At 49.7% G+C, this 27,431-nt stretch overlaps 1 protein-coding gene and 1 long non-coding RNA gene across 2 annotated transcripts in view, besides 2 other annotated features; one reads left to right on the top strand and one right to left on the bottom strand.

Moving 5' to 3' along the window:
* ADARB2 (adenosine deaminase RNA specific B2 (inactive)) overlaps positions 1 to 27,431 on the top strand; it is a 560,213-nt gene that overhangs the window by 363,978 nt on the left and 168,804 nt on the right. The window contains exon 3 of the mRNA NM_018702.4: positions 9,631 to 10,520. Within this exon, the coding sequence (NP_061172.1) occupies positions 9,631 to 10,520 (890 nt within the window). The remainder of the gene's footprint in view (positions 1 to 9,630; positions 10,521 to 27,431) is intronic.
* Positions 3,480 to 3,774: a silencer, noted in NCBI's record as "tiled region #10920; K562 Repressive non-DNase unmatched - State 21:Repr". NCBI's record gives its function as "represses a minimal TATA promoter and a strong SV40 promoter by Sharpr-MPRA in K562 cells {active_cell/tissue: K562}" and the evidence as "EXISTENCE:reporter gene assay evidence [ECO:0000049][PMID:27701403]".
* On the bottom strand, positions 11,597 to 13,939 carry LOC105376342 (uncharacterized). The gene is made up of 2 exons (XR_930528.3): positions 13,218 to 13,939; positions 11,597 to 12,110 (listed from the first exon to the last, which is right to left on the bottom strand). It is a non-coding gene; the product is annotated as an uncharacterized LOC105376342 (long non-coding RNA).
* Positions 14,024 to 14,103: an enhancer, noted in NCBI's record as "active region_2901". NCBI's record gives its function as "activates an Ori minimal core promoter by ATAC-STARR-seq in GM12878 lymphoblastoid cells {active_cell/tissue: GM12878}" and the evidence as "EXISTENCE:reporter gene assay evidence [ECO:0000049][PMID:35858748]".

Genomic DNA, 27,431 nt, shown 5'->3' with positions numbered 1-27,431 from the left:
CGCATGCACACAGTCACACAGTCACACATGCACAATTACATGTGCACACACAGGCACATGCTCGGGCACACACTCGTACACGCACTGGTTATGTTACACACTCAGGCACTGTTTACCAGCTGGAGCCCTCCAGGGGTTGGTAAGAATCAGTTTCCAGTCTGAGTGAGTGACTCTGAGGAGCCTTTACCAACAAGACGCGCGTGTGTGTGTGTGTGGGTGGGTGTGTGTGTGTGTGTCAGAGACAGAAACAGGGGTAGAGACAGAGAGACACAGTGAGACAAAGACCGAGAGAGACACAGAGACAGAGAGAGACACGGAGACAGACAGAGAGTGGTACTCTCCTCCTCTGTTCTTTTTCTCAAGACTGCTTTGTCAAGTCGGGATCTGTTTTGATTCCATATGAACTTTAGGATTGTTTTTTCTAACTGTGAAAAATAACTGGCAATTTGACAGAGGGATGGCATTGAATCTGCTGAGTGTTTGGGGCAATATGGACATTTTAGTAATATTGATTCTTCTATTCCATGAGCATGGGATGGTTTTCCATTTGTTTGTGTCTCAATTTCTTTTCTCAGTGTTTTGTAGCTCTCCTTGTAGCTATCTTTCATCTCCTTGGTTAGATGCTAAACCTTTCTAAGAATCCTGACGTGCAGCTAACATAGCAAGTGTTCCCCGTCTGCCCTGGTGTAAGCATATGAGTTTCTTGCAGACCTACTCCCAGCTCTAATATACTATGAGTATGCAATTATGACCGGCAAGAATAATAATTATTTGGGATAATAAATTTCGGAGTGGACTAAAGGAATCACCAATTCTTATACTCTATTTTGAACTGTCTATTTGAATTGTTCCAAGTGCAAATAAATGCATTTTCCAAATCACATCATTTTTATAATGCAGGCCCTTCAAACCTCTTGATCCCAAATCCCTGGCACCACCCTGTGAGATGGGCCCCACACCTCCCTCTTCATGCCCTCAAAAGGTGTTGGCAGCTTACAGTGTCTTTCATGGTCACAATTAATGTGTTCTGAGGGCCTGCAACATTTGATAGGTCATTTCAAAACTTTTTTTTAATTTAATTTAATTTTATTTTAGGCTTAGGGATACATGTGCGTGTTTGTCCCGTGGGTATACTGCACCCTGGTGGGGATTGGGCTGCTAGTGTACCCATTACCCAAATAGTGAACATTGTACTGATAGCTGATTGTTCGAATCTTACCCATTCCTCCCTCCCCCTTCTCAAGTCCTCAGTGTCTGTTGTTTTCTTCTTTATGTCCATGTGTACCCATCGTTTAGCCCCCACTCATAAGTGAGAACATGCAGTATTTGCTTTTCTGTTTCTGAGTTAGTTCATTTAGGATAATGGCCTCCAGCTCCATTCATGTTGCTGCAAAGGACATAATTTTACCCTTTTTTATGGATACATGGTATTCCATGGTGTATATGTACTACATTTTCTTTATTCATCCACTGTTGATGGATATTTAGGTTGGTTACATGTCTTTGCTATTGTCAATAGTGCTGAGGTGAACATACACGTACAGGCGTCTTTTTTATGTAATGATTTTCTTTTCCTTTGGGTAGATGCCCAGCAGTAAAATTGCTGGGTCAAATGGTGGTTCTATTCTTAGTTCCTTAAGAAATCTCTGTACCGTTTTCCATAGAAGTGGAATTAGTTTACATTTCCACCAACAGTGCACAAGCATCCCCTTTTCTCTGCATCCACACAAACATGTTGGATTTTTTTTTTTTTTTTTTTTTTTACTTTTTAATAATAGCCATTCTGACTGGGGTAAGATGACATCTCAGTGTGATTTTAATTTGCATTTCCCCTGTGACGTTGAGCATTTTATCATATGTTTGTTGGCTGCTTATATTTTTTCTTTTGAGAAATGTCTGTTCATGCCCTTTGCCCAATTTTTTGTGGAGTTGTTTGGTTTTTTCTTGCTAAGTTATTTGAATTCCATGCAGATTCCGGATATTAGCCGTTTGTCAGAGGCATAATTTGCAAATATTTCATCCCATTTTGTAGGTTGTCTGTTTACTTTTTTATTTTACTTTATTTTATTTTTTGCTGTGCAGAAGCTTGTTAGTTTAATTAAGTCCACTTTGTCTGTTTCTGGATTTGTGCATTTCCTTTTGGGGCCTTCATCATAAATCTTTTGCCTAGGCCAATGTCCAGAAGTTTTTCCTAGGTTTTCTTGTAGGATTTTTATAGTTTCAGGTCCTATGTTTAAGTCTTTAATCCATCGTCGAATTAATTTTTGTATATGGTGAGAGATAGGGGTCCAGTTTCATTCTTCTGCATATGGATAGCCAATTTCCCAGCACCATTTACTGACTAGGATGTCCTTTCCCCATTGTTTATTTTTGTCAGCTTTGTTGAGGACCAGATGGCTGGAGACGGACCACTTTCTTTCCGGGTTCTCTGTTCCGTGGGTCTATGTGTCTATCTTCGTACCAATACCATCCTGTTCTTACTATAGACTTGTAGTATAATTTAAAGTCAGGCAATGTGATACATCTGGATCTGTTCTTTTTCTCAGGACTGCTTTAGCTATTCAGGGTCTGTTTTTGGTTTTATATGAACTTTAGGATTGTTTTTTCTAATTCTGTGAAAAATAATGTTGGAATTTGATAGAGATTGCATTGAATCTGCCGACTGCTTTAGGCAATGTGGACATTTTAACAACACTGATTCTTCCAATCCATGAGCATGGGATGGTTTTCCATTGGTTTGTGTCTACAATTTCTTTCATCAGTGTTTTGTAGCTCTCCTTGTAGCTATCTTCCATCTCCTTGGTTAAATGTATTCCTAGGTATTTTATTTTGTGTGTGTGGCTATTGTAAATGGGATTGAGTTCTTGATTTGTTTCTCAGCTTAAACATTATTGATGTATAGAAATGCTACTAATTTTTATACATTGATTTTGTATCCTGAAACTTTACTGAAGCCATTTATCAAGTCTAGGAGTCTTTTAGAGGAGTCTTTAGGGTTTCCTAGGTATACACACATTTATGTCATCAGGGAACAGAGATAGTTTCACTTCCTCTTTTCCAATTTGGATGTCTTTTATTTCTTTCTCTTGCCTGATTTCTCTGGTTAGGACTTCCAGTACTATTTTAAGTAGAAGTAGTGAGAGTGGACATCATCTTGTTCCAGTCCTTAGGGAAATGCTTTCAACTTTTCCCCATTAAGTGTGACGTTGGCTGTGGGTTTGTCATAGATGGCTTTTATTATTTTGAGGTATGTGTCTACAATGCCTAGTTTGTTGACAGTTTTTATCATGAAGGGATGTTGGATTTTATCAAATGCCTTTTATACATCTGTCGAGATGACCCTATGTTTTTTGTTTTTAGTTCTGTTTGTGTGGTAAATCACATTTATGGATTTGTAGATGCGGATTCATCCTTGCATCTCTAGAATAAAACCCCCTTGATCATGATGAATTATCTTTTTGATGTGTTGCTGAAATCACGCATTCTGAGTGTCTGCAACATTTGACAGAGAATGCTAAAACTGTTACACGCACTGTCTCCATTGATCTAACAAGGCCCATGTGGTAGGTTCCATTTGTGAACCGCGTGATGGGCCAGGTCACACTGCCAGCACCCAGCCACTGGAATCCACCTCTGTGCCCCAGAGACAACGAGTCCATTCACCAATCTGTGCCTCGAGCTTTGGAGACAGCTTCCTGAGAGAAGACAGGGACAAAGTACAAAAAGTGGGAGCCAGGGAAAAGCTCAGTGTGCCTGCTCTAGGGATCAGAGACAGAGGGGATGACTCAGGAGGGGCGTGGCCATGCCCACCCTCTCGGAAAAAGGGCAGAGCTGCCATTGGTGGGCTAATCAGGCTTTGTGAGCCTAAGTCAGGCTGACTTTTTAAAATGTATTTTATTGTGTATATTTCAGGCGTACATCATGATGTTTCGTTACACTTACACTTAGTGAAGTAGTTACCACAGTCAAGCAAATGATCACCTGCACCTTCCACTGCCTTTTGTGTGGGTAACAGCCGCTATCATCTTCCCTGCTGGCCAGCGGGAACACCCAGACTTGGGGCGCACAGAGAAAGAGTGAGGGGTTTGGGACACAATCCAGGGGGTAACTTCCACAGGGCAGCATGAAGAGGGGAGGCCGATAGTCCCCCAGGTCCCCTCACCCCCAGGGTGTGGCCTATTGAGTAGAGACCCTGGTGAGTGCAGGAATTCGGATCTAAGACCCACCAAGCAGGTGCGTCAACAATAGCTTTCCATCAATAGCTTTCTACTTAGAGGCAGGTGTTTTCCTGGTCTCCTGATGTTTTATCTCTAGGTTTTTATATACGATGACTGAGTGTGAGAAACCTGTTGATTATATGGAGAAAAAAATGAGACCAATTTCCTGGGTCGGGGAGGGGAGTCTAACACATTTAATACCTTCCGTGTGGAAGGAAAAAAAGTTAATTTGTAAAGTCGGCGTTAAAGCTGTGAGTGGTTCACATGCAGTCACTACAGCAAGAGGCCGCCAGGGGCGGCACCTGGACGTGAGCTCCTCCATTTTCCAACAGCCTCAGAGCCCAGAGCGCCACTCCCCTAGGACCAGCTCCCACCCTCACCCAGCCCAGCCCCACGACTGCCACAGGACCACAGGGCAAGCTCGGCCCCCACCCTCACCCAGCCCGGCCCCACGACTGCCACAGGGCGAGCTCGGCTCCCACCCTCACCCAGCCCGGCCCCAGGACTGTCACAGGGTCATAGTGTCAAGGCTTCTCCCACTTGGGCCTGAGGGACCAAAGAGGCAAAGCCTGTTTTTCCCTTCGTATGCCTCAGGCACCTGCACTGTTACCTGACTCAGTAGGTTCTGGAAGGTTTTGTGAGAACGAATTCTTGCCTTGCCAACCAGAGAGAGAGAGGAGGCTTTGTTGTGTGTGGAAAAGCTAATGCTGCTCTCGGCCCTTCTGAGGGAGCAAAACTCCCTCAAAAACTCCTCTCAAGGAGGGAGACGCAACCCCAGCCACAGCTCGCGACTCGCAGACATGAGGCCCTGGAAACCCTTCTTTCAGGTTCCCTGGAATTCCTGCAAAGTGCACGGAGAAGCTCAGGGAAAAAGATGAGCAGGGAGAGAAGTAGGGCCCGGACAGAGAGAAGCAAGGTGGGCGAGATGCGGCTGAGAGGAGGATGAGAAGTGTCTGCCCCACCATTTCCCTGCTGTGTTTTCAAAATGCGTCCCATGTTCCCTCACGGCCGACTCTCACTCAGCCCATTGATGTGCTGCCTCCGTTTGTCCCTGTAAGAAACTTGTAAGGCAAATATTTTTTAAATCTTCATTTTCTGCCTTAAAAAATCAGTTGGCCAGACTGAGTGACTTGCCCAGGGTCACGTACCCCTGGACGATGGAGCAGAGCCCGAGTGTCCCCTGCGCCCCCGTTCCCCACAGCTCCATGCAGAGGCCACCGCTGGGCTGTGGCCTCTGTGCTGGGCTCCCACGTCAGGGAAATGGGAATCGGGGCCTGTGCAGAGGATTCCAAACCCTAATCAGGTGATATCACCCCCCAGAGGGCCCAGCTGGTGTGTCCAGGACAGGCCCCTGAAGTATGCTCTTATTATCAATTATTGATTATTATGAAAGAGGCTCTTATACCACAATCTGACATTCATGGTTTATACCATGGAAAACTTTAATTCTGAGAGTCGTAGGACATTGAGTCAGGAAGAGGCATTCAGCGCAGCTAGCGGCAAAGCGTTGCTGTGAGTTCTGATCTGAGATCCAGCAAAGGTCATGCAATAACGCCAGCCACTGTAATCACACTGACAGTCTCGTCCATCCCCACCTTGCGAGAAATCAATAAGAAATTACAGAGTACCAGGCAAATCTCTATGCAATCTGGTATGGGGTTGGGGGGTTGATCTTGTTGGGTTTTTTGCTCCATCTTTAAGTTCAATTTGGAAAATCCCATGGTTAATCTCATCTGCTTACCCTTGGCCTGAAACACACTCAACAGTAGAGCAGTGCTATATGTATACCCAAAGTGCATAATGATTAACAAAAGCATTTGCACTCAGCCCTTTCTCCTCAGAAGGTAACGGTTTCTGCCGCCATCAACTGTAAATGAATGTTGTGCACCTATAACTAATCAAGCTCTCAGATCCACATTTTGAACAAAATTACCTCCCCAAACCTAATACTTTTTTAGACATAATTGCCAGAGAAAACAACAGAGCCACCTCACAATTCAAAAAATTCAAATGAGAAATAGAGATTTTAGCAAACAGAGAGCACTTTCAAAGCAGAGCCCAGAGCCTTCGGCAGGAGAACCCAGGTGGTGGTGATAGCTGAGGCCAAGAGCCGGATGTTTTCACCCCGAGCTGAACGGGCAGGCAGCGCGCAACGTGAGAAGAACATTCTCCAATGTCAGGATACCTCGCAAAGGTGCCTGATTTTCAAGGGCATCTTTTGTGCCTATGAAATGTATGTTTTTATTATTCTCCAACAACGATGTCATAAGCTGAGGGGCGGGGAGCGTGGGGCTGGGCCAGCCAGGCCTCATTCCTGCTTGACTTTCGGGCCACATGGCCAGCAGATGCACGTGTCAACATCCAGCCGCACTCAACCTCTATTTCTAAGTTGTGGGTTAGCTGTAAAAATTGCCTCAAGTTTCCACTTGCTTAATGAGAAAAAACTCATCCACACCTGGCAGAAGAGCCTGTCCCCACGGACAAAGCCAATGAGTGAAGGGAAGCCTGTGTGTTCTTGCCTGGGACAGCTCACCATCCGGTCACACGTGGGGCAGCCTGTGGGCTCAGCTTCATCTTCCTCTTCCAGAGGGCCCAGAAAAGGGTGTTACTGTACATAGGCCAAGACAATGATGGAAGTAATCAGTTTCCATAAAATCACCTTTACAGCAACAACACAGACGAGGGTGATCCGATGCCTAGGACTGAACTGCACTGCGACCAACTAATAAACTCTGCAACCTCAGTAAAGGAACTTCCCCACTGAGAAAATCGGACATTAATACCCTCCCCAGGGCTGACTGGGGCAATGGGAAGCAGCAAAGTCCAGGTTCTGCATGAGCCAAGCCTCAGGGTGGGGCAAGGGCACAGCTCACTACCATAATTCTCAGAGTATTTTGTAGTAAACCCTCATGGAGCCTTCCAGAAGCACATTCACCAGCGAGGGTAGTATGGACCCAGCAGGTCGTGGGGCCATCCATGGCTGAGATTCCCTAATGGAACAGCTTTGCCAGAAAACAGTGGTCCAGGATGGTCAGTCCAGAAAAATTAAATCATCATCAAATGCATTCATCACCCCAGCTGGCAAATGATGATTTTGCTAAATGGACTTCAGAGCATTTTCTGCAAAAGAAATAAAGCACTGAAGTCACACGTGAAGTCACCCCCCAGCCCCTCATTGCACTTCCCTCCTACACTCTCCAGGGGAGACTGGACTGGATCTTTATTACCCACGCATCAGCAGCCTTGTCACAGACGCATGGCTGCATGAAGAATATAGAACGTCGGTGTTCTTATAATAATATCCTATCCTATGGGTTACTTTGCAAGTCAATTTTATTATCTGGCATCCTATTTCTTGAGATTCATCTACATTGAAGCATACAGACATAGTCCATTACATGCAACTGCTATATAGTATTCTGTAGTGTGATTATTTCACTGATGACTCATCATTCCTCTAACCATAGAAACTTGGGCATTTTCAAAGTTTTCAGTTTTGTGAAAGCATGCTGCAGTGCACACCTTTGTTCAGTTCTGCCTCTGTGTATGAAGGTTTCTCTAGGATGCATCTCCAGTGGCAGAATTGCTGAGTAAGGTGTGTGTTTCTTTATTCTTGCCCGAAGCTCCCAAAATGCTTTCCAAAGGAGCTGTGCTTGTGCTCCTGACCACCGACCTATGGTACCTACCTGAAAACACTGCGACATTACAGGTCTTTTTAAAGTGCTTGCCAGTCTGATGAAGGTGGTAAGACTCCCAGGGGCAGAAACCAAGCAAGTGGCCTGGGTTCCTGCAAGGGACCAGATTTTGACCCATCTTGGCCATCATCATGCCTTCTCCCTACATTTGATTTAAAGTGAGAGAGGAGTGACTCTTCCTTTCACTAAACACTTAGGGGCAACTGCAGGGTTATTCAGTGGCCTAATTTCAATATTGGGGCTTCTCAGGGAGGCCTGAGCAGAGGGAGAGAGATGAGGGAACGGCCGGTCCGTGGAGCGGTGGGAACACTCACAACAGTTCCTAAGTTTGCCGTCTTAAGTGGGTGCGATCCATGACACTCCAAGACAATCACCATAGTAACATCAAAGATCAGGCATCAGAGGGCACCATAACAGATATAATAATGGGAAAGTTTGAAATATTTTGAGAATTACCAAAATGTGGCCAGGCGCGGTGGCTCTCATCCGTAATCCCAGCACTTTGGGAGACGGAGGCAGGCAGATCACCTGAGGTCAGGAGTTCGAGACCAGCCTAGCCAACACGGTGAAATCCCATCTCTAAAAAAATACAAAAATTAGCCAGGCGTGGTGGTGGGTGCCTGTAATCCCAGCTACTCAGGAGGCTGAGGCAGAAGAATCGCTTGAATCTGGGAGGCGGAGGTTGCAGTGGGCCAAGATCGCGCCACTGCCCTCCAGCCTGGGCAACAGAGTGAGATTCCGTCGCAAAAAAAAAAAAAAAAAAATTACCAAAATGTGACACAGAGGCATAAGGTGAGCGCATGGTGTGGGATCAGTGGGCTGATAGAGTTGCTCAACTCAGGGTTGCCACAAACCTTGGATTAGTGAATAACACGATACCTGGGAAGCCGAACAAGGAGGCATGCCTGTACTTTAAATCATCTCTGGATGACGCATACTGCCTAATACAGTGTAAACGCTATGCAAATCATTGTTATACTGTATTGTTTAGGGACTAATAACAAGAAAAATGTCTGTACACGTTCCGTAGTGATTCATCCATTTTTTCCCGAATACTTTCTCTCCACAGTTAGTTGAATCCCTAGATGGGGAACTCAGGAATACAGAGGACCAACCGTATTTACTGAATAGGTGTGCCCCTTCTCCAGGAGAAAGGCCAGGGACTCACCCCAAGGCCGCAGTGCCTCACCTGGGCCAGCTCCTAGGGTTTCCTCCAGGGAGTTCTCAGGAGACACCACCTGTCTGCCTCTAGCTGTGAGTGAGGAAGTAGAGTTTGGGGGCCGGACCCCCTGACCCTCAGTATTGGGGGGGCATTGGGCACCGGGCCTGGAGGTCCCTGTAGCAGGTGGGAAGGGGGACACTAGACCACACCACCCCGGGAAAGGCCTCTCTGACCTTTGACATTGCCCAAAACTTGTACAAAGTCAGGGGCGCTTGTCTGTTTGTGAGACACAGCCTCACTTAAAACAGGAGCCAGCCCAGAAGACGACAGCTCCTAGCCACAGGCCCTCAGCAAGGGACCAAGGACGCTACTTCCCCGCATGGGCCATAGGCTCCCAGGGGCTCCCTCTCTCTGGCGGCCACAGTCATTTCTCAGGCCTGACCTGGGGGCGCGGGCGGCGAGGTCGCTGGGACGGGGACCCTCAGGGAGTGCCTGCTGTGCCCATCGACCTGCCGGCGCCCGCCCAGGCTCCTGACTGGTCTGTTCTCCCCTCCAGGTACCAGCAGCGCGGAGGTGAAGGAGAACCGCAACGTGGGCAACCTGGCCGCGCGGCCACCGCCCTCCGGGGACCGGGCCCGGGGCGGCGCGCCCGGCGCGAAGAGGAAGCGGCCGCTGGAGGAGGGGAATGGGGGCCACTTGTGCAAACTGCAGCTGGTCTGGAAGAAGCTGTCGTGGTCGGTGGCGCCCAAGAACGCGCTGGTGCAGCTGCACGAGCTGAGGCCGGGCCTGCAGTACCGGACAGTGTCGCAGACGGGCCCGGTGCATGCCCCGGTCTTCGCGGTAGCGGTGGAGGTGAACGGGCTCACGTTCGAGGGCACAGGCCCCACCAAGAAGAAGGCCAAGATGCGCGCGGCGGAGCTGGCACTCAGGTCCTTCGTGCAGTTCCCCAACGCCTGCCAGGCGCACCTGGCCATGGGCGGGGGCCCGGGCCCCGGCACGGACTTCACCTCCGACCAGGCCGATTTCCCCGACACGCTCTTCCAGGAGTTCGAGCCCCCGGCGCCGCGCCCCGGACTCGCGGGAGGCCGCCCCGGGGACGCCGCGCTTCTGTCCGCGGCCTACGGGCGACGGCGGCTGCTGTGCCGCGCGCTGGACCTGGTGGGCCCGACCCCCGCCACCCCCGCGGCCCCGGGCGAGCGCAACCCCGTGGTGCTGCTGAACCGCCTGCGCGCCGGGCTGCGCTACGTGTGTCTGGCAGAACCGGCCGAGCGGCGCGCGCGGAGCTTCGTGATGGCCGTGAGCGTGGACGGCAGGACGTTCGAGGGCTCGGGGCGCAGCAAGAAGCTGGCCCGGGGTCAGGCCGCGCAGGCCGCACTGCAGGAGCTGTTCGACATCCAGATGCCCGGCCACGCGCCCGGCAGGGCCAGGAGGACGCCAATGCCGCAGGTGAGGGGCGCGGCGGGTGCAGGGGGAACGGGCGGCGCTGGGGGCGCGGGGGAGACCCCGACCTTTCCCTGTTGGGAGTGGCGTCCAGGCTTCTCGGAGAAGGAGAGGCCGCGTGGAGCGGGAGGGGAAAGAATGTCTCCCGGCCTGGTGAGGTGATTGATGGGAGAACAGGTGCTGCCGGCGGTTTTGAGGGTGACAATGCGGCTGCCCGGGAGGAGACAGCGAGGCCGGGTGGGGAGCGGCCAGGGCGCCTCTGTCTGCAGGGGGAGGGACGGGTCCCCCGTGCCAGGTTTCGTCCGTGACTGGGTCTCCACGCGTAGGGTCGGATGGTCGTGCCGGGTAAAATTGGGGTCAAGTTTTCCACCAGGGAGGCGCCCTGTGCCTGGGAGCAGCCGGAGAGGCCGCCAGCCCGGCAGGATCCAGACGGGGTCCCTGGTCCAAGGGAGAATCGCGCTGGGAGGCCGAGGAGGCCGGAGCGAGAGTGGGGAGCTGGGCCTCACTCTGCCCGGCAGGACCCCTCCGGTTCCTTCCTGCGCAGCTGTGGGTCCGCCTTCTAACCTGCGATTACCTTCACTCACTCCAGACATGTTCTCAACTGTCTGGGCGTTACCGGTTGGAGGTGTCCAGGTTCTTGGCGCCTTGAGCAAAGAACTGGACAAAACCCACACAGCAAGGAAAGAACGAAGCAACAAAAGCAGATATTTCTGGGAAATGAAAGCACACTCCACGGGGTGGGAGCACCTGAGCACAGGGGCCCAAGAGCCCGTTACTGAAGTTTCTGGGGTTTAAATACCCTCTAGAGATTTCCATTGGTTACTCGGCGTAGGCCCTGTGTAAATGGAGAGGACATTTCCTGTCATCGCTGAAGTATTTCCATTTGATTCAGCTCTAGGAAGTCAGTGTGCACCGGCCTTATGTTCCTGCCTCCAGACCCTATTTTCCTGCCTCCTATCTGTCAGAAACTATTCTGATACCATTTTAAAACAATCTTATCCTGCCAAGTCTTGCAATGGCTGATTTATGCAAATTATCTTTTCTCTTATCATGTTCAGAATTATCTGTGGGCATCACTAATGTAGCAGATACAGAAAATTATCTTTATTCATTTTGGCATCAATCAAGGAAAGAAACATTTCACATAGTTAAAAAGCACTTAGCCCAGTGCGGGACTCGTCGTAAGTATGCAATAATTGTAAGTTATGGCTGTGATCGCTACCATTGTTACATCACAACACCTAGGACAGAATCTGTTATTTTGCCTGGGGAGATGATAAATCTCTTCACGAATGTAGGGTCCCACTCGAACCTCAGACACTGCTCAGGGAGACTGCAGGGTGACACAGACCACATGCGTCATGGCAGAGCCCTCATCTTGAATTGTGACTGGGTTCAAGTGCTCACTATTCACTTGTCAACCAATGCTTGTTGAACTCTTGGCCGGCGTGGGGTAGGGCACACCCCTGCCTTCTGCCTCTCGGGAAGCCATTCATTCATTTTCAAGTACTTGTGGAACATCCGGTGGTCATTTTAAGGAGTGGGTTAGAGGCATTTAGACCACAATCTCCATCAGTCTTGCCGTCCAAACTCGCCCTCAAATAAAAACACAATGTAAGTAAAAACAAGGTGGCAGACAGCAAGGATGGCTTCCACATAAGTCCCTGGGCACTTCCTCACAAGGGCGCTGGGGCCTGGCTTGGTCTTTTCTTACACCTCCTTCTTATTTACTCCCTTCTCTCTTCCTTTTTCACCCTGTTTCTACACTCTCTGTAGCTTAAACTTGCCAGTGACCGTCCTGGAAGCCACTTCACCCCTGCAGCCTGGGGGAGGGGGGATGGGGGGGTGGGGAGACTGGGAGAGAGCCCTCCTAATGCTGCCCGTGACCTTAGGTGCAACCTTGGCAGGCTCGGGTCTCCTGCCACCTCCTCTGAGAAGCCCCACCACCCATGGTCTGGGGCGTGTCCCCCGTCGCTGGGATACCTTGCTCACCCAGCTGAGCCTGCCACTCTTCTGTTGAATCTGTTAAGCAGGAAACATCCCTCCACCCTCCCCAGCCCCCCTCCTGCGTCCCACTCATGTGAAATGTGAAGAATGTCAGTGAATTCTGGCTGCAGTGCCTTTTTCTTTCATGTTGTCAGCCCTGAGCTCTCACGATGGAGAAACCAGGCAGCACTACTACTTTGTAAAAGTCATTTGACCCCAGAATGCAGCACATCAGTTAGAGCCATGGCCGCTAAATTATTTTTCTCTGACAGTCCCTAACCACCCCGACTGGATGACGAAGGGCGCAGAGCAGCGCGAGGGTTTCGGGCCATTCATCTCTGCTCTGCACGCGGCGTCCAAGGGGCCCATTTTACCCTCCCTCGTACCGCTCCCCATGCACACCCACAGCTGGGCGGGGGCTGGGAGGACACTGGGACTCAGGGCCAGGAACCTTCAGCAGTTTATTAAATTCAAATCCTATTATGGATGTGATTCAGGGGGAAAAAATGAAAAGACTTCAGAAATTGCTGTAAATGTGGCTTTTCCTCCTTGCCCTGCCCCAACCTTCCCCAAAACCCTGTCTCTACTTCATGGACCCCCGTCTACACAGCTTGCTTCCTGTCCACGCAGACCCCTGGTCCCACTGCATGGTGGCTCTGGAGCTGAAATTCCTAAAAGCCTGAGTCCCTGGCCCTTGTCTGACGGCCCTGTTAGCACCTGTGTCTGGAGGACAAGCCATGCGTTTTCCTGGGCTGTGTCCCACGCTCGGAAAAGGGCAGGCCCACCTCTGGGGCTGGGGGGAAAGGCCGCCCTCCCGGAGTCCGTCCAGGGAGCCTGGAAGCAGCGCCTCCTGCTGGGACGATGCAGTCTCTGCACTTGGGTGCCGGCCCGGTGCTTGAGGTTCTCTGCCCACAGTCCCAGGCTCACCCCACGCAGGGCTGGCTTCCACGTGCAGGACCACAAAACCACGTCTGGATCCATGGTGTTTCGGTAGAAGCCAGCAAAGATGCTGCACGTCTGCTCAGTGCTCTCCGCCAAAGGCTTGCTCCTATGAAGGAAGCTTCAGAACCATCCCGGAGGGAAGTCTTCTCATTAAGTAACAGTCAATGAAAAAAGTTTCCAATGTGATGGTGCATAGAATCATCTGAGTGGCGTGTTTAGACACCGCTGAGGAGCCTACTGCAAGAACCCAGTAGGTTCTCAAGGGAGGTCAGCGGTCTGCACTTCCAGCTCGTCGGGTGGTCAGAGACCCACACTGTTGAGAGCCACTGCGGCTGGAGCTTGTCATGGTGCTGCTCACAGCCTCAGCCTGGAATGGCAGGGCCGCGGCGGGAAGAGTCTCTGTCCTGCCGGGACAGCTCGCAGGAAGCAGGGCCTCCCAAAGGCCCTCGGAGACCTGCAATAGTGTGTCTGTAAGGGTGAGCGTTGTGGTGGAGGTTGGGATTCACAATATCAGCTTCCTTATAAACACGTGAAGCCACCCTCCAGTGGTAAAGATGACGTACGATAGACTTGTGTGTCATCCGAATTTTGAAAGAGGAAGTTCAGAAGCATGATATTTTCATAAAGATTAAAATCACAGGTGTGGCTTCTTCGTATCTGATTTTCACTATTTCCTGCACCCGGGGGTGTTTCTCAGGATCAGACTCATCTAACCCATCAGCTTCATGGGATCCGAGTCAGCCAGAGTGACAAAGGCAGGCATTTATCAGATTCCTTAGAACTCACACCAGACCTAAACATGTAGGGTTTACAGTACTGGCAGAGGGTTTGCAGGCCAGTCTCCTCTCCATGAGTATCAGCTGATAGGGGCAGTGCCTGCTCAGGTGCACCTGCCTGGCTCATTGCAAACCCCTCATGCTCTCCTCATCTGCAGTCCACTCAAGACTCCTCTAGGTTAACTGGGTACTCAGAAGTAAGAACAAGACTGTGTCAGGATATAAATATGTGCTACCTGGAGGCATCATCATAAAAAATGATAAAATCACAAAACCTACATCTCTCTTCAGTTTGCTCCCCACCCCTAGCATCAAAAGAATTCCTAAGCAAAAACGCAACCATAAAGGAATGCTTTTCAGCATTTTCTTTCTGTGAAAACTATTTAGAAAGGAGAATAAAGTAAACTATAATGCCAGTAAAAATAAATAAATCAGTAAAAGTCACCTGTGTGCTCAGTAACTCTGAAAAGGAAGTTTATTGACTTGTTTGTGAGTTTATCTTTCACCCTCAAGTACCCCCTTTATTTCTTTGTTTTTTAAATTTTCATGTCAGGCAAAGACACCCTGTTGTCCACACACCCTCACCCCGCACTCTCCCACACTCAGTCCAAACTCCAAAGTAGTGCCTTCAGAAACAGTTCCTTGAATGACTTTCTACAAATGTTAAAAGAATCTTTGTTTTGCTGAAAAAAAAAAACTTTCCATTTGCCACACAGCCTTGTAAGAATTATTCCCTGCCAGTGAGAAGTTCTTTATATTTGCGTAAAGACTTGGAGAGACTGGGAGCGGTGGCACCTGGGGCATCCCTGGGCAGCGGAAAAGGCACTAGAACCAGGTGTTTGAACTGGGAACTGTGGGTTTGGGTCTGGGAATGCAGGTATTCAAGACATAAAAAGTGTCTGTGAAGTCCCTGGGAGAAGCTGCCTAGAGTTTGGGCCTTTTCCTCCTGGGATGGACCTGGCTCCGCATTCTCACCAAGCAATCCTCAAGGGCTGAGGGCACAGCAGGTTTCTCTCCTATCCGACATCATAATGGCTTTGCATCCCCAGCTGTTCCCACCAGAGACACCATAGTGAGAGGAAAGCCTGAGGGGTTCATCCTCTGTCCCCACACCAAGAAATACGCAGCTGAATCCTTGCAGAAAAATCATGACCAATTATTGGGATTGCTTCAATCAGTTGAGGCAGCAAGTCAAGATGAAGCCACTTCTTTGATGCCCAGAGCTAAGTCCAGGGTGATTTTTTTCTCCTTCTCTCTCTGTCTGTCTCTCTCTCTGTTACTTCCTCTCTCACACACACTATTTGTGCAGGATGCACATGCACATATGTGTGTATATAGATCTACACCAGAGAGAAAGACTTACAGTCAGCAGAGCTTTGTGCAAACGTAGGAAAAACCTGCTTGTCCTGTGTGAGCGTTTCAGAGACCTACCAAAAGGTCTTTAATTCAGCAAGTTGCTAACATGTCTGTGGCTCAGTTTTCTCCTCTGCACAGAGTTTTTCTGGGGCTCGTGTGTCTACAACAATAGAGTACGCGCTCCATGCTTGTTGGCTGTTATTTGTATTAGCATCATTGTTTTTATGGTGCAATTACAGGTTCAATTATTTAAGATACTTATGCCCACACCAAAGTATATTAAAAGCAAATAAAAGGCCTGATGGCTCATGTCGCTCCCATCCTGGGTGAAGGTGTTTTCTAGATTAAGGGAAGACATTTGCTTGGGGTCTGCAGGCTCCTTGCAAGGGGTTACCAGATAAAATACAGTGACAAGCTTACATTTAAAAATTGTAATTATTTATCTGAAATTCAAATTTAACCAGATGTCTTATATTTTATTTGCTAAAAAAACCATGCATCCCTCCTTGCAACTGAAAAGTGAGAAAGGAGGTGAGATTGTGGTGCCAGGGACAGGAGGGTCCCGTGGGAAGAGGGAGACTCCAGCAGCCACCTGTCTGCCACTGTGCCCACCAACCTCCCTCATTTTTCTCAGAGCACTCAGAGAGGTCACGGATATGCCAGTGTCCTAGGGTGGGGACACTAACGATTTTTGGGTCTTTTCCTGTCTCCCTCACTCAAATATTGAAGTCCCCTCTGGCTAGAAACCAGCCATTCAGTCTCACTCACTTTGTGAATAAATCGAATGGAGGAGGGATAATCACAAGTGGGCCAGGAGCCAAGCATCTTTGCAGTGTCCTGAGTTCGGTTTCACGTCTCTGCCCTTTTGCTGACAGGAACTCTTTTAACCCCCTGTGCAGACAGTCACTGTTGATTTCACTTACGTGTAAAATTACAAAGGGCTTGCTGTGAGTGGGGGCCCTAGAAGAACCCTCCTGACCATAAAGCCCAGGAATCCGGGGTTAAAACGAACGTCATTTCTGTCGTGGCAAAGGTCTCAGTGTGTAACTCAGGGAGAAGACTGAAGAGAGACCAGTTAGGTAGGAATCAGCCCTTCCTTCCTAATGGTTTTCAATAATTCCATAACTTACTTAAGGAGAAAAATCAGGATTTCACAATTGGCTTGTTTGAAGTTAGTTCTCGTGTCTTAGAAGTGGTGATGAGTGTGTTGTTGTTGCTTTGCTTGAGAAGGCTGGAGGGAGGTGAGATTGAAGAACAGTGTGTGCCATTTTTCATCATGATGGCTTCCAAAGAATGGGCTTTAAGATGGTGTCACTCCTACATGCAGCTTTTCCTCCAGACTTGGGCCAGCCCTAAGGCTTCCCTGGAAGGCCAGCATGAAAGCCCCAACTCCCCTCCATCATCCCCAGGTCAGCTAAGTGCCCTGGGAGGCTTCAGTCACTGGGGACAAGCAGAGCCTCGTTGAAGCTGAGGTTCTGGGTCCTGGTAATGGATCGTTGGGGCTGTGTGAAGTTCTGTTGTTTTCCACCAGCTCACCCCAGGCGGTTCTGTTCTCTGTGAAGCCCTCCAGGGGGTGGGTCCCCAGGACGCCCTTCCACCCCAGCTGGCTGCCTGTGTCTCTGGGACCATTCTTCCCATGCGCCTGTGGCCACATCACCTGCTTTGAAGCAGGAATGATCCCAGCAGCTTGCTTTCTTTCAGCACCTCACCTTCTGGGTTTTGTGGCCACACACACCATCCTGTGGTCCATGCAGGAAGGCAAGGTGCTCTTTTAGGGAAGGAAAAACAGTCCTGCAGATCCAGCCATCCCCAAACCTTCTGGCTTTCTTCGTGTCCTGGGTCTGTGAAAGAGGTGCTGACGGCCAGAAAAAGAGCGAGAGGTCACTCATTGTCATTACACATGGAAAAAAAAACTTTCAGAAAATCCTTCCTTAATGAGGCACTAGAGGCTTTGTAGATGCTTAACAATACATTTATGCATTTATACAATGTAAATACAATGTATGATATACATTTATACACTATACATGTATACAATGTATATACAATGTATGCTATATATTTCTATAACATATGTATAAAATGTATATACAATTGTGATATGTTTACACAACATATATACAATGTACAGCATACATTATGCAATGTACATGCAATCACAATGTATGTTTATACAATGTATGCAATGTACGATATACATTTATATAATAGCTTCTGCCACCCTACTTCCTACTAAAACATGTTAGGTGAAATTGTAATATGTAACTGATAAGTATTTAAGCCTATAGGTTCCCAATACCATGTTTGGAATTTTCAAATATGGTTAATATGACTGTCCATTAGTTAAGCAGGGCCTGTGAGCCAAGCTTCACCACTTGTCTCTATTCCACAGCCATGATTACTGATGATAACAACAGTGCCATTAGCAGCTAATATTTCCCAGGCACTTAATCTGGGTCACACATTATTCTACGTGCTTTACATGCACAGTAACGCTCATTTAAAATTTTTGAGGTCTGTTTTACAGAGAAGGACGTTGAGTTTCCGGAGACCTGAGTCCCACGTCCAAAGTCTAGTCACTGAGGGGTGGAGCAGGGAGGACAGTTACAGACAGCAGAGCTCAGCTTCTGTGGGGCTGGGGCTCATCCTCAAGACTCCAGCCTGCTCCATCCTCCCAGCCCCCAAGGGCTTTAGGCTGATGGAGGACACAGAACACTGTTCATTAAAATAGAGGTCTATGATTTAGCACAGCAAGAGTGACAAGAGTGTTTGTTATTAGTTCCAAACAGGGAGAAACCACGGTGGGCTGACTGGCAGGGAAGAGTTGATTGAAAGACTGCAGAGCCCGACTGTGTGGGAGGAGGTGGGCAGCCAGGGGAGGGACACATACCTGGGCATCATGTCCTGGTGGTTGGAGACTCCTGAACACATGGGAGCCTCGTGGGAGCCCTCAGGGAGGTGCAAGCTGGAGAGGATCGGGTCACCTGCCTGCAGGGGCTCCACTGCCCTCCTGGGCTGGTGCCGCCTTGGGTACCTCCATGGAGCTCAGAGGCTAGAGGGTCTTGCTCCCCATGGGAAGGTGGCTCTGTAAGCAGAGAGCCTACAGCCTCCCTGGGGTAGACAATGGCTCCATTAGGATGGCTGAGCCCCCTTCCTTTGGGACTCATCATTACACCAAAAAGGACAGGGTCAGCTAAAGGAGATGGCAACTGGGAAAAGCCAACGTTTAAATGAACCAGAGAAAGGAAAGAGGTGCATCCGAGAGAGGAGAGGGGATGTGGGAGAGCACATGGGGTGCCACCTTCCCCATCCCAAGGATGCCCAGGAGGGCCCTGCTCCCCGATCCCTCTCCCCTGAGCCCCCTCTCCTTCGCCCATTGTCACATCCCCTGAGGCTCCTCTTTTCATGCACGTACCTGTGAAGGGACACCAAACAGGCTTTGTGTGAGCAACAAGGCCGTTTATTTCACCTGGGTGCAGGTGGGCTGAGTCCAAAAAGAGAATCAGCGAAGGGAGATGGGGGTGGGGCCGTTTTATAGGATTTGGGTAGGTAAAGGAAAAAGGGGGGCTGTTCTCTGGTGGGCAGGGGTGGGGGTCACAAGGTGCTCAGCAGGGGAGCTTTTGAGCCAGGATGAGCCAGGAGAAGGAATTTCACAAAGTAATGTCATCAGTTAAGGCAGAAACCGGCCAGATGGATGTGTACCTGCAGGTCACAGCGAATATGATGGCTTAGCTTGGGCTCAGAGGCCTGACATTCCTGTCTTCTTATATTAATAAGAAAAATAGAACGAAATAGTGGTAAAGTATTGGGGCGGCGAAAATTTTTGGGGGTGGTATGGAGAGATAATGGGCGATGTTTCTCAGGGCTGCTTCAAGCAGGATTAGGGGTGGCGTGGAAACCTAGAGTGGGAGAGATTAAGCTGAAGGATGATTTTGTGGTAAGGGGTGATATTGTGGAATAGTCCTGTAGAATTATTGGTGATGGCCTGGATACGGTTTTGTTCGAGTGTCTACGAGCAACCTCTGTTATTTACGGGGCTGTGTATAAGTAAACAAGAAGAGGGCATGGGAGGAGAGTCTGATGAGCAAGGGGAAGGTAGCCAAGGATGGAGTGAAATACAGGGTGTCTTCCTAGCAATAACTACTGGTTTTTAAGTGTGCCAGTATTGATAGAGGGCTTGTCTGTTATACGGAACTGGAAGGCTCTAATTGTTTCTGTGATGTGTGTAGTTGGGCTTTGGAGATGAGGAGGAAAGGAACATCGAGAAGGTGAAAGGTTACCCAGGGGAATTCCAGTGGGTCTTTGCTGAGAGATACATAACGGAGTGGCCACAGGAATAGTAGTTTGTGTCGTGAGAGGTCCAAATATGGGCGGAGTAGAGTTGATATAATGAGAAGGGTTTTTTAAGTAAGTGCGGAGGAGGGCGGTGGCTTGCTGATGTGAAATGTCTGGGGAGGTCTTGCTGGACCTGTCTAGAAAGTAAATGAGTTCTTCAGGAGGGTAAAGGTGAGGGCTGTTAAAGGAAGTTCAGAAGTGTAGGGAGACAAGAGATGTTGCCCGGTCTGCATGTAAGCGGGTACAGCTGTGTAGGCGCTGGAAGAAAGGGAAATGCAAAGCCAGCGGATGTTCGCTAAGGAGGGATTAGAAGCGGCTAGGAGAGAATGGGTAAGGTTGATAGTGTGGTGGAGATAGCTGGGGAGAGGTAGAGGGTGCCCTAAGAATGGGAAAGAATAGAACTTCATCAGGGTGAAAGTATTGAAGGGTCTTCTGCCAGCAAAGATCATCTATCCACTCTAAGAGGGACTTAAGAGTTGCCAGTCCTAGGCGGGGGCCAATCCCCGTGCTTGATGTGTAGGGAAGGGAGGGGGCCTGAATAATCCCTGAGGAGTAGTAGAATAGCAGATGGAACACTGAGAGGTGATTTCCTTGAGGATAGATTTCTACAACGGAAAGGAAATGAGAGGTTCTAAGAGGAGGGCTGGTGGCTTGTACTATAGTATAGCCTGCCTTTCCTGGTGTGTGGGGATTAGGCCTGGTGGAACTGCCATCAATAAACTAAATGTGATCAAGGTGAGGAACAGGGAAGAAGGAAATATGGGGAAATGGGGTGAATGTCAGGTGGATCAGAGAGATACAGTCATGAGGGTCAGGTGTGGTATCTGGAATAATGTGGGAGGCTGGATTGAAGTCCAGGCCAGGAACAATGGTAATTGTGGGAGACTCAACAAAGAGTAAGTATAGCTGAAGAAGCCGGGGAGCAGAAAGTATATGCGTCAGGTATGAGGAAGAAAGTAGATTTTGGAAGTTATGAGAACTGCAGAGAATGAGTTGAGCATAGTTTGTGATTTTGAGGGCCTCTAAAAGTATTAAGGCAGTGGCAGCCGCTGCATGCAGACATGAGGGCTGGGCTAAAACAGTAAGGTCAAGTTGTTTGGACAGAAAGGCTACAGGACGCGGTCCTGGCTCTTGTGTAAGAATTCCGACTGCACAGCCCTGCACTTCAGCTGTGGGTAATGAAAAGGGTCAGGATGAGTCAGGGAGAGCTAGGGTGGCGGCAGTCTCTAAAGCTGTCTTCAAGGAAGTGGAAGAGGAGTGGGGAAAGGATTTAGGATCTACGGGGTCAGCTAGGTTTCCTTTTGTGAGTTTATATAACGGTTTTGTTAGGATGGCAAAACCAGGTATCTAAAGTTGAAAGTATCTAACCATGCCTAGGAAGGAAAGGAGTTGTTTTGTAGAAGGTGCTTGGGTTTGAGAGATCAGTTGGACACAATTGGCAGGGAGAGCACGTGTGTTTTTATGAGAATTATGACAAGATAGGTAACAGATGAGGAAGAAATTTGGGCTTGACTGAAGTAATGGGGGCTGTCTGTGAAGCTTTGCGGCAGTACAGCCCAGGTAATTTGCTGAGCCTGATGGGTGTCAGGGTCAGTCCAAGTGAAAGCGAAGAGAGGCTGGGATGAAGGGTGCAAAGGAATAGTAAAGAAAGCATGTTTGAGATACAGAACAGAATAATGGGTTGTGGAGGGAGGTGTTGAAGATAGGAGAGTATATGGGTTTGGCACCAAGGGGTGGATAGGCAAAACAATTTGGTTGATAAGGCACAGATCCTGAACTAACCTGTAAGCCTTGTCTGGTTTTAGGACAGGTAAAATGGGGGAATTGTAAGGGGAGGTTATAGGCTTTAAAAGGCCATGCTGTAGCAGGCGAGTGATAACAGACTTTAATCCTTTTAAAGCATGCTGTGGGATGAGATATTGGCATTGAGTGGGGTAACGGTGATTAGGTTTTAATGGGATGGTGAGGGGTGCATGATCGGTCACTAAGGAGGGAGTAGAGGTATCTTATACTTGTGGGTTAAGGTGGGGAGATACAAGGGGAGGATGTGAAGGAGGCTTTGAACTGGGGGAAAAGGCGGCAATGAATAGTCAGGGAATAGTCAGGGAAGCAGATAATTTAAAGTGTCTCGGCCTAATAAGGGAACTGGGCAGGTGGGGATAACTAAAAGGAGTACTTAAAAGAGTATTGTCTAAGTTGGCACCAGAGTTGGGGAGTTTTAAGAGGTTTAGAAGCCTGGCCGTCAATACCTACAACAGTTATGGAGGCAAGGGAAACAGGCCTTTGAAAAGAAGGTAATGTGGAGTGGGTAGCCTCCGTATTGATGAAGAAGGGGACGGACTTACCTTCCACTGTGAGTTACCCGAAGCTCAGCATCCGTGATGGTCCAGGAGGCTTCTGAGGTGATCGGGCAGCGTCAGTCTTCAAGCGCTAAGCCGAGAAGATTTGGGAAGGAGTCAGAGAGCCTTGGGCCAGAGTTCCAGGGGCTCTGGGAGTGGCAGCCAGGTGAGTTGAACAGTCTGATTTTCAGTGGGGTCCTGCACAGATGGGACACGGCTTAGGAGGAATCCTGGGTTGCGGGCATTCCTTGGCCCGGTGGCCAGATTTCTGGCACTTGTAGCAAGCTTCTCGGGTAAACGGGCCTGGAGGAAACCCTGGCAGCTGCGGTTCAGGCGTTCCAGTTCTTGCGTGCTGGAGATATGGCGGGGGTTTGTCTCACAGTGGATGCAAGGAATTGCAACTCAGAAATACATTGCTACTTGGCTGCCTCTACTTTATTATTGTACACCTTGAAGGCGAGGTGTACAATTAAGTCCTGCTGTGGGGTTTGAGGGCCGGAATTTAATTTTTGGAGTTTTATTTAATGTCGGGAGCGGATTGGGTAATAAAATGTATATTGAGAATAAGATGACCTTTTGACCTTTCAGGGTCTAGGGCTGTAAAGCATCTCAGGGTTGCTGCCGAACGAGCCATGAACTGGGCTGGATTTTTATATTTGATGAAAAAGAGCCTAAACGCTAACTGATTTGGGAGAGGTCGGGTAAAGAAAAGGAGCATTAACCCTGACTATGCCTTTAGCTCCAGCCACCTTTTTAAGAGGAAATTGCTGGGCAGGTGGGGGAGAGCTAGTCACGGAACGAAACTGTAAGTCAGACCAGGTGTGAGGAGGGGAGGTGATAAAAGGATTATTGGGTAGAGGAGCGGAGGCTGATGAAGAATTGGGACCTAGCTCGGTCTGGCGAGGAGCAGCCTGGGGAGGAGCGGAGGGGTCAGATGGGTCTGTAGAAAAGGAAGATTGGAAAGAGGAAAGACTCAGCAACGCTTGGGATTGGGACTGAGGGGAGGGAAAGAAGGAAGATTTGGGATGAGTTGCATTGGGAACAGACTAGGGATGTATGAAAGAAAGCCTGGACGTCAGGCACTTCAGACCGTTTGCCTATTTTACGACAAGAATTATTTAGATCTTGTAGGATGGAGAAATCGAAAGTGCCGTTTTCTGGTCATTTAGAGCCATTGTCAAGTTTGTACTGGGGCCAAGTGGTGTTGCAGAAGAAAATAAGACGCTTAGATTTTAGGTCAGGCGAGAGTTGAAGAGGTTTTAAGTTCCTGAGAACATAGGCTAAGGGAGAAGAAGGAGGAATGGAGGGTGGAAAGTTGCCCATAGTGAAGGAGGCAAGTTTAAAGGGAAGGGTAGAGGCATGGAGAATTGGTTGTGGGGAGCAGCCAAGGCAGGCGTCCCCACAATTGACCTGCCACCAAGGGAACGTGGGTGAATGACCAAGGCAGGCTTCCCCACGGAGATCAGACATCAGTGGAACATGGATGAATAATCAGAGAGGCGTCCCCATAAATGATTAAACACCAAGGGAAGGCTGCCTTCCCAAGTCCGTGACCAGCGCCGGAGTTTTGGGTCAATGGATAAAATGTGTCTCCTTTGTCTCTACAAGAAATGAAAGGAATTGAAATTAAGAGAAGGGAGAGATTGAAGGGTGGCGCCAAGATTGAAAGGAGAAAGAGGTTGAGGGATAGTGAGGGAGGTTGGAGAAGAGAGTAAAAAAGAGGCCACTTACTGGATTTAAAATTGGTGAGATGTTCCTTGGGCTGGTCGGTCTGAGGACCCGAGGTTGTAGGTGGATCTTTCTCACAGAGCAAAGAGCAGGAGGACAGGGGATTGATCTCCTAAGGGAGGTCCCCTGATCTGAGTCACGGCACCAAATTTCATGCACGTTCGTGTGAAAGGACCACCAAACAGGCTTTGTGGGAGCAACATGGCTGTTTATTTCACCTGGTTGCAGGCGGGCTGAGTCCAAAAAGAGAGTCAGCGAAGGGAGGTAGGGGTGGGGCTGTTTTATAAGATTTGGGTAGGTAAAGGAAGAAGGGGGGTTGTTCTCTGGCAGGCAGGGGTGGGAGTCACAAGGTGCTCAGCAGGGGAGCTTTTGAGCCAGGATGAGCCAGGAGAAGGACGTTCATAAGGTAATGTCATCATCAGTTAAGGCAGGAACAGGCCATTTTCACTTCTTTTGTGGTGGAATGTCATCAGTTAAGGCAGAAACTGGCCATCTGGATGTGTACCTGCAGGTCACAGGGGATATGATGGCTTAGCTTGGGCTCAGAGGCCTGACACCTCCCCTGAGTCCATAGTCCCATCCCCTGAGCCCTCTCCCCTGAGCCCTCTCTCCTTCCCCCATTGTCACACAGGCCTCTTTCCATCGTTCTCGCAGCACCTGGTGACTTCCTGGGCCGCTGTCGCTTGCATGCCTGCCTGTGCCTCCCATGAGCCCCAGAGCTGAGGTGGATGGGTGCTGGGCTCACTGAGGGGACAGCCCTGGGGTGCATGGGCACTCAGCTCCCAGCGTTGGCCTCAGCAGCAGCCCGGCCATCCTCACACAGTCTCAGGGTGCCCAGATAGAGCCCAAAGCCAGCAGTCGGGACCTGGACCCCATCTCGGGGCCTTCACAGCCCTTAATTCTGCTTCTCCCCATGTCAACTCAGGTTCCCTTGGAAACAGACAGCAGACAGAGCAGAGGGGGTGGGAGGAGGAGAGCAGGGCACAAGGGGTAGGGGGCAGAGCTGCAGGGAGGGCCTCAGATGGAGGCAGCCGAGGGAGGCACCTCCCGGCCAAGGGCCCCAGACCACCCACTCCAGACAGAGTCTGGGCCAACGCCGCAGGGAGCAAGCACTGCTCAGGCTGGCAAGAGTCACAGGCTCCAGGGCTCAGGCGTCGCCTGACAGCCCAGGAGTGGCAGCAGCAGCAAGACCTGTAGGCTCAGAGTCACCACAGAGGCCCCTCAACCGCTCACCCAGGAAACCCACATCCCAGACTCCCCAGACCCCTTCCTGAATCAGCTTTCCACGAGCACAGGCAACAGTGGTTTCTTTAGAGACATCAGACAGTTTCCTGAGAGTTTAGAAACAACAGGGAAATGTTCCTCCCATGAGAAATGACTTTGTAGCCACTCCCACCCCAGCCCCCAGCAATGCAGGGCACACCCCGTGCTCAGCAAATCACTGCACCACAGGACCGAGATAGCCCTGCAGGGGCCCGGGATTCACATTCCCACTGTCTCTGTTTCGCTCTGTCTCTGTCTCCCTCTTCTGTCTCTGTCTCTCTCGGTCCCTGTCTCTGTTTGTCTCTGTCTCTCTCTCTCAGTATCTCTCTGTCTCCGTCTCTGTCTGTCTCTCTCCACCCCTATCTCTCTCTATCTCTGTCTCTGTGTCTGTCTCTGTCTCCGTATCCCTCTCTGTTCCTGTATCTCTCTACCTCCCTCCATCTCTTACTGCCTCTCTCTTCCCATTCATCTCCCAATTACCCTGAGCCTATTTCAGCTCCCTTCTCAGCAATCCTGGTGTCCACTGGGGGTGCCTTCGGTGCACTGCGTACGTGGGGTCCAGAGGAGGGCGTTACCTGTGAGCGCTGTCGGGAGGCGTTGATGGCTGTGCTCCTTGTGCACCAGCCGGGTCGAGGCACCCGTGGTCTTACTGAGGGTCTCGTAGCCGATGGGCGTGAAGAGCTGAGGTGAGGGCTGAGGCCTCCTGGCTCCTGATCTGTGTGCTCTTCAGTGGTCTCCTGGGCAGGGGACAGGTCACACGGCTGCCATCCACAGCCCTGGAGAAGGTGGTGAGCTTAGTCTCCAGAGCCAGTCTCCTGCATCTGCTTACCAGCTGTGGGACCTAAGCCCTTGAGTGCCAAGTACCCGTGCCCTGGTTTCTTCTCATTCCTAAATGAGATGATACCAAAAGCAGTCGCTCACAGAGCAGCTGGGAGAATGAAACGGGCAGATGCATGAACCATGCTCAGAGTGGCATTTGGCAATCTCATTCTTGTCCCAGGGACGCCGGCTGGGGAGACAAGGCCTCGGTCCTCTGACACGACTCACTGCAACTTTATGATCAGGAAGGCGGGAAAGGGAGAAGGGATTTCAGGGAAAATCCAGACGAGCTCCTCTAATCCCATTTCTGGAGTAACACGTTGAGGGCTGGCGTGCGGGGCTGGGAAGTCAGAGCAGAACCGAAGGGAATGGGCCAGTCCTGGGCCCCTCTGGGCCTGCACTTCCTCATCTTGAAAATAAGGATCTGTGATGGAATGTTCACATGCAGTTCTCACATCCTGAGAAAATAGAACCCGTGTTAAGATGTCCATAGGTCAACATGATGTATCCAATATGGGCACATATGCTGGGGGCTGCTTTCTTGGTAACATTTGAAGAGCAGCAAACAGGCACACGTCCCCATTGACATGCAATCTGCAGCATTTTGCCCAAAACTGGAGCTTATATTTTCTCACTCCTGTAGTATTTTCCATTAAATTCTAGCTTTCCAAACCAATGGGAAACAGAGGACCCTGGGCAGATGGGAGAAGGCAAGGACCCACGTGCCCTCGCCTGACATGGGCCTGGCTCCCGGCCTGCTGCCCCAGGTAGTGTCTGGAGCAGGAGACGGGGTGGGGCACCCCTGGCATCTCTGCCTCTGATGGCCTTGCTCTTGCCTTTAGTTCCCTAGTACCAAGTGCCTCTGTAAAGGCTGGAGCCTGCAGCATGGCTGGGGGTCAAATCTGTTTAAATATGCCACATCTCGAGGCATTTTATGTCTTCCTCCCCACAAATGCTCCCAGATCATTCTGAAGAGCAAGACTCAGTAACACTGAAAGCCAGTTCATGCCCCTGTCAACAACAACTGTCTCATATGCTGCATTTTTAAGTAAAGCGCGGTGACAACCTCAGGTCCCCAGAGTTGGAGGGCACCTGTGTTCACAGCACCCACAAGAGGGGCAGGAACTGAGGGGCTGAGGGGTTCTCGCGGTTGGTGAGAGACGAACTCGTTATTCCCAATCTCAAGCCCCATCTCCTTCACTGCCACATTCTGGCCACTCTCTCACCCATACATCTGAGACCCTGTCGGTGCATGGGGAGTAATAAAGTGGAATGAGAGTTTGTAACAACGGCACCACGATTAAAGGTTTTTAAAATGCATTTTTCTAAATTAATGCACACGGTGGAATTGTGAATTCACTCAAGTATTCAAA

Source organism: Homo sapiens, chromosome 10 (assembly GCF_000001405.40).
Source record: "Homo sapiens chromosome 10, GRCh38.p14 Primary Assembly".
Classification (NCBI taxonomy): Eukaryota; Metazoa; Chordata; class Mammalia; order Primates; family Hominidae; genus Homo; species Homo sapiens.
Note: the sequence above shows the minus strand (reverse complement) of the source record. Positions and strands in the feature narration are given on the sequence as shown.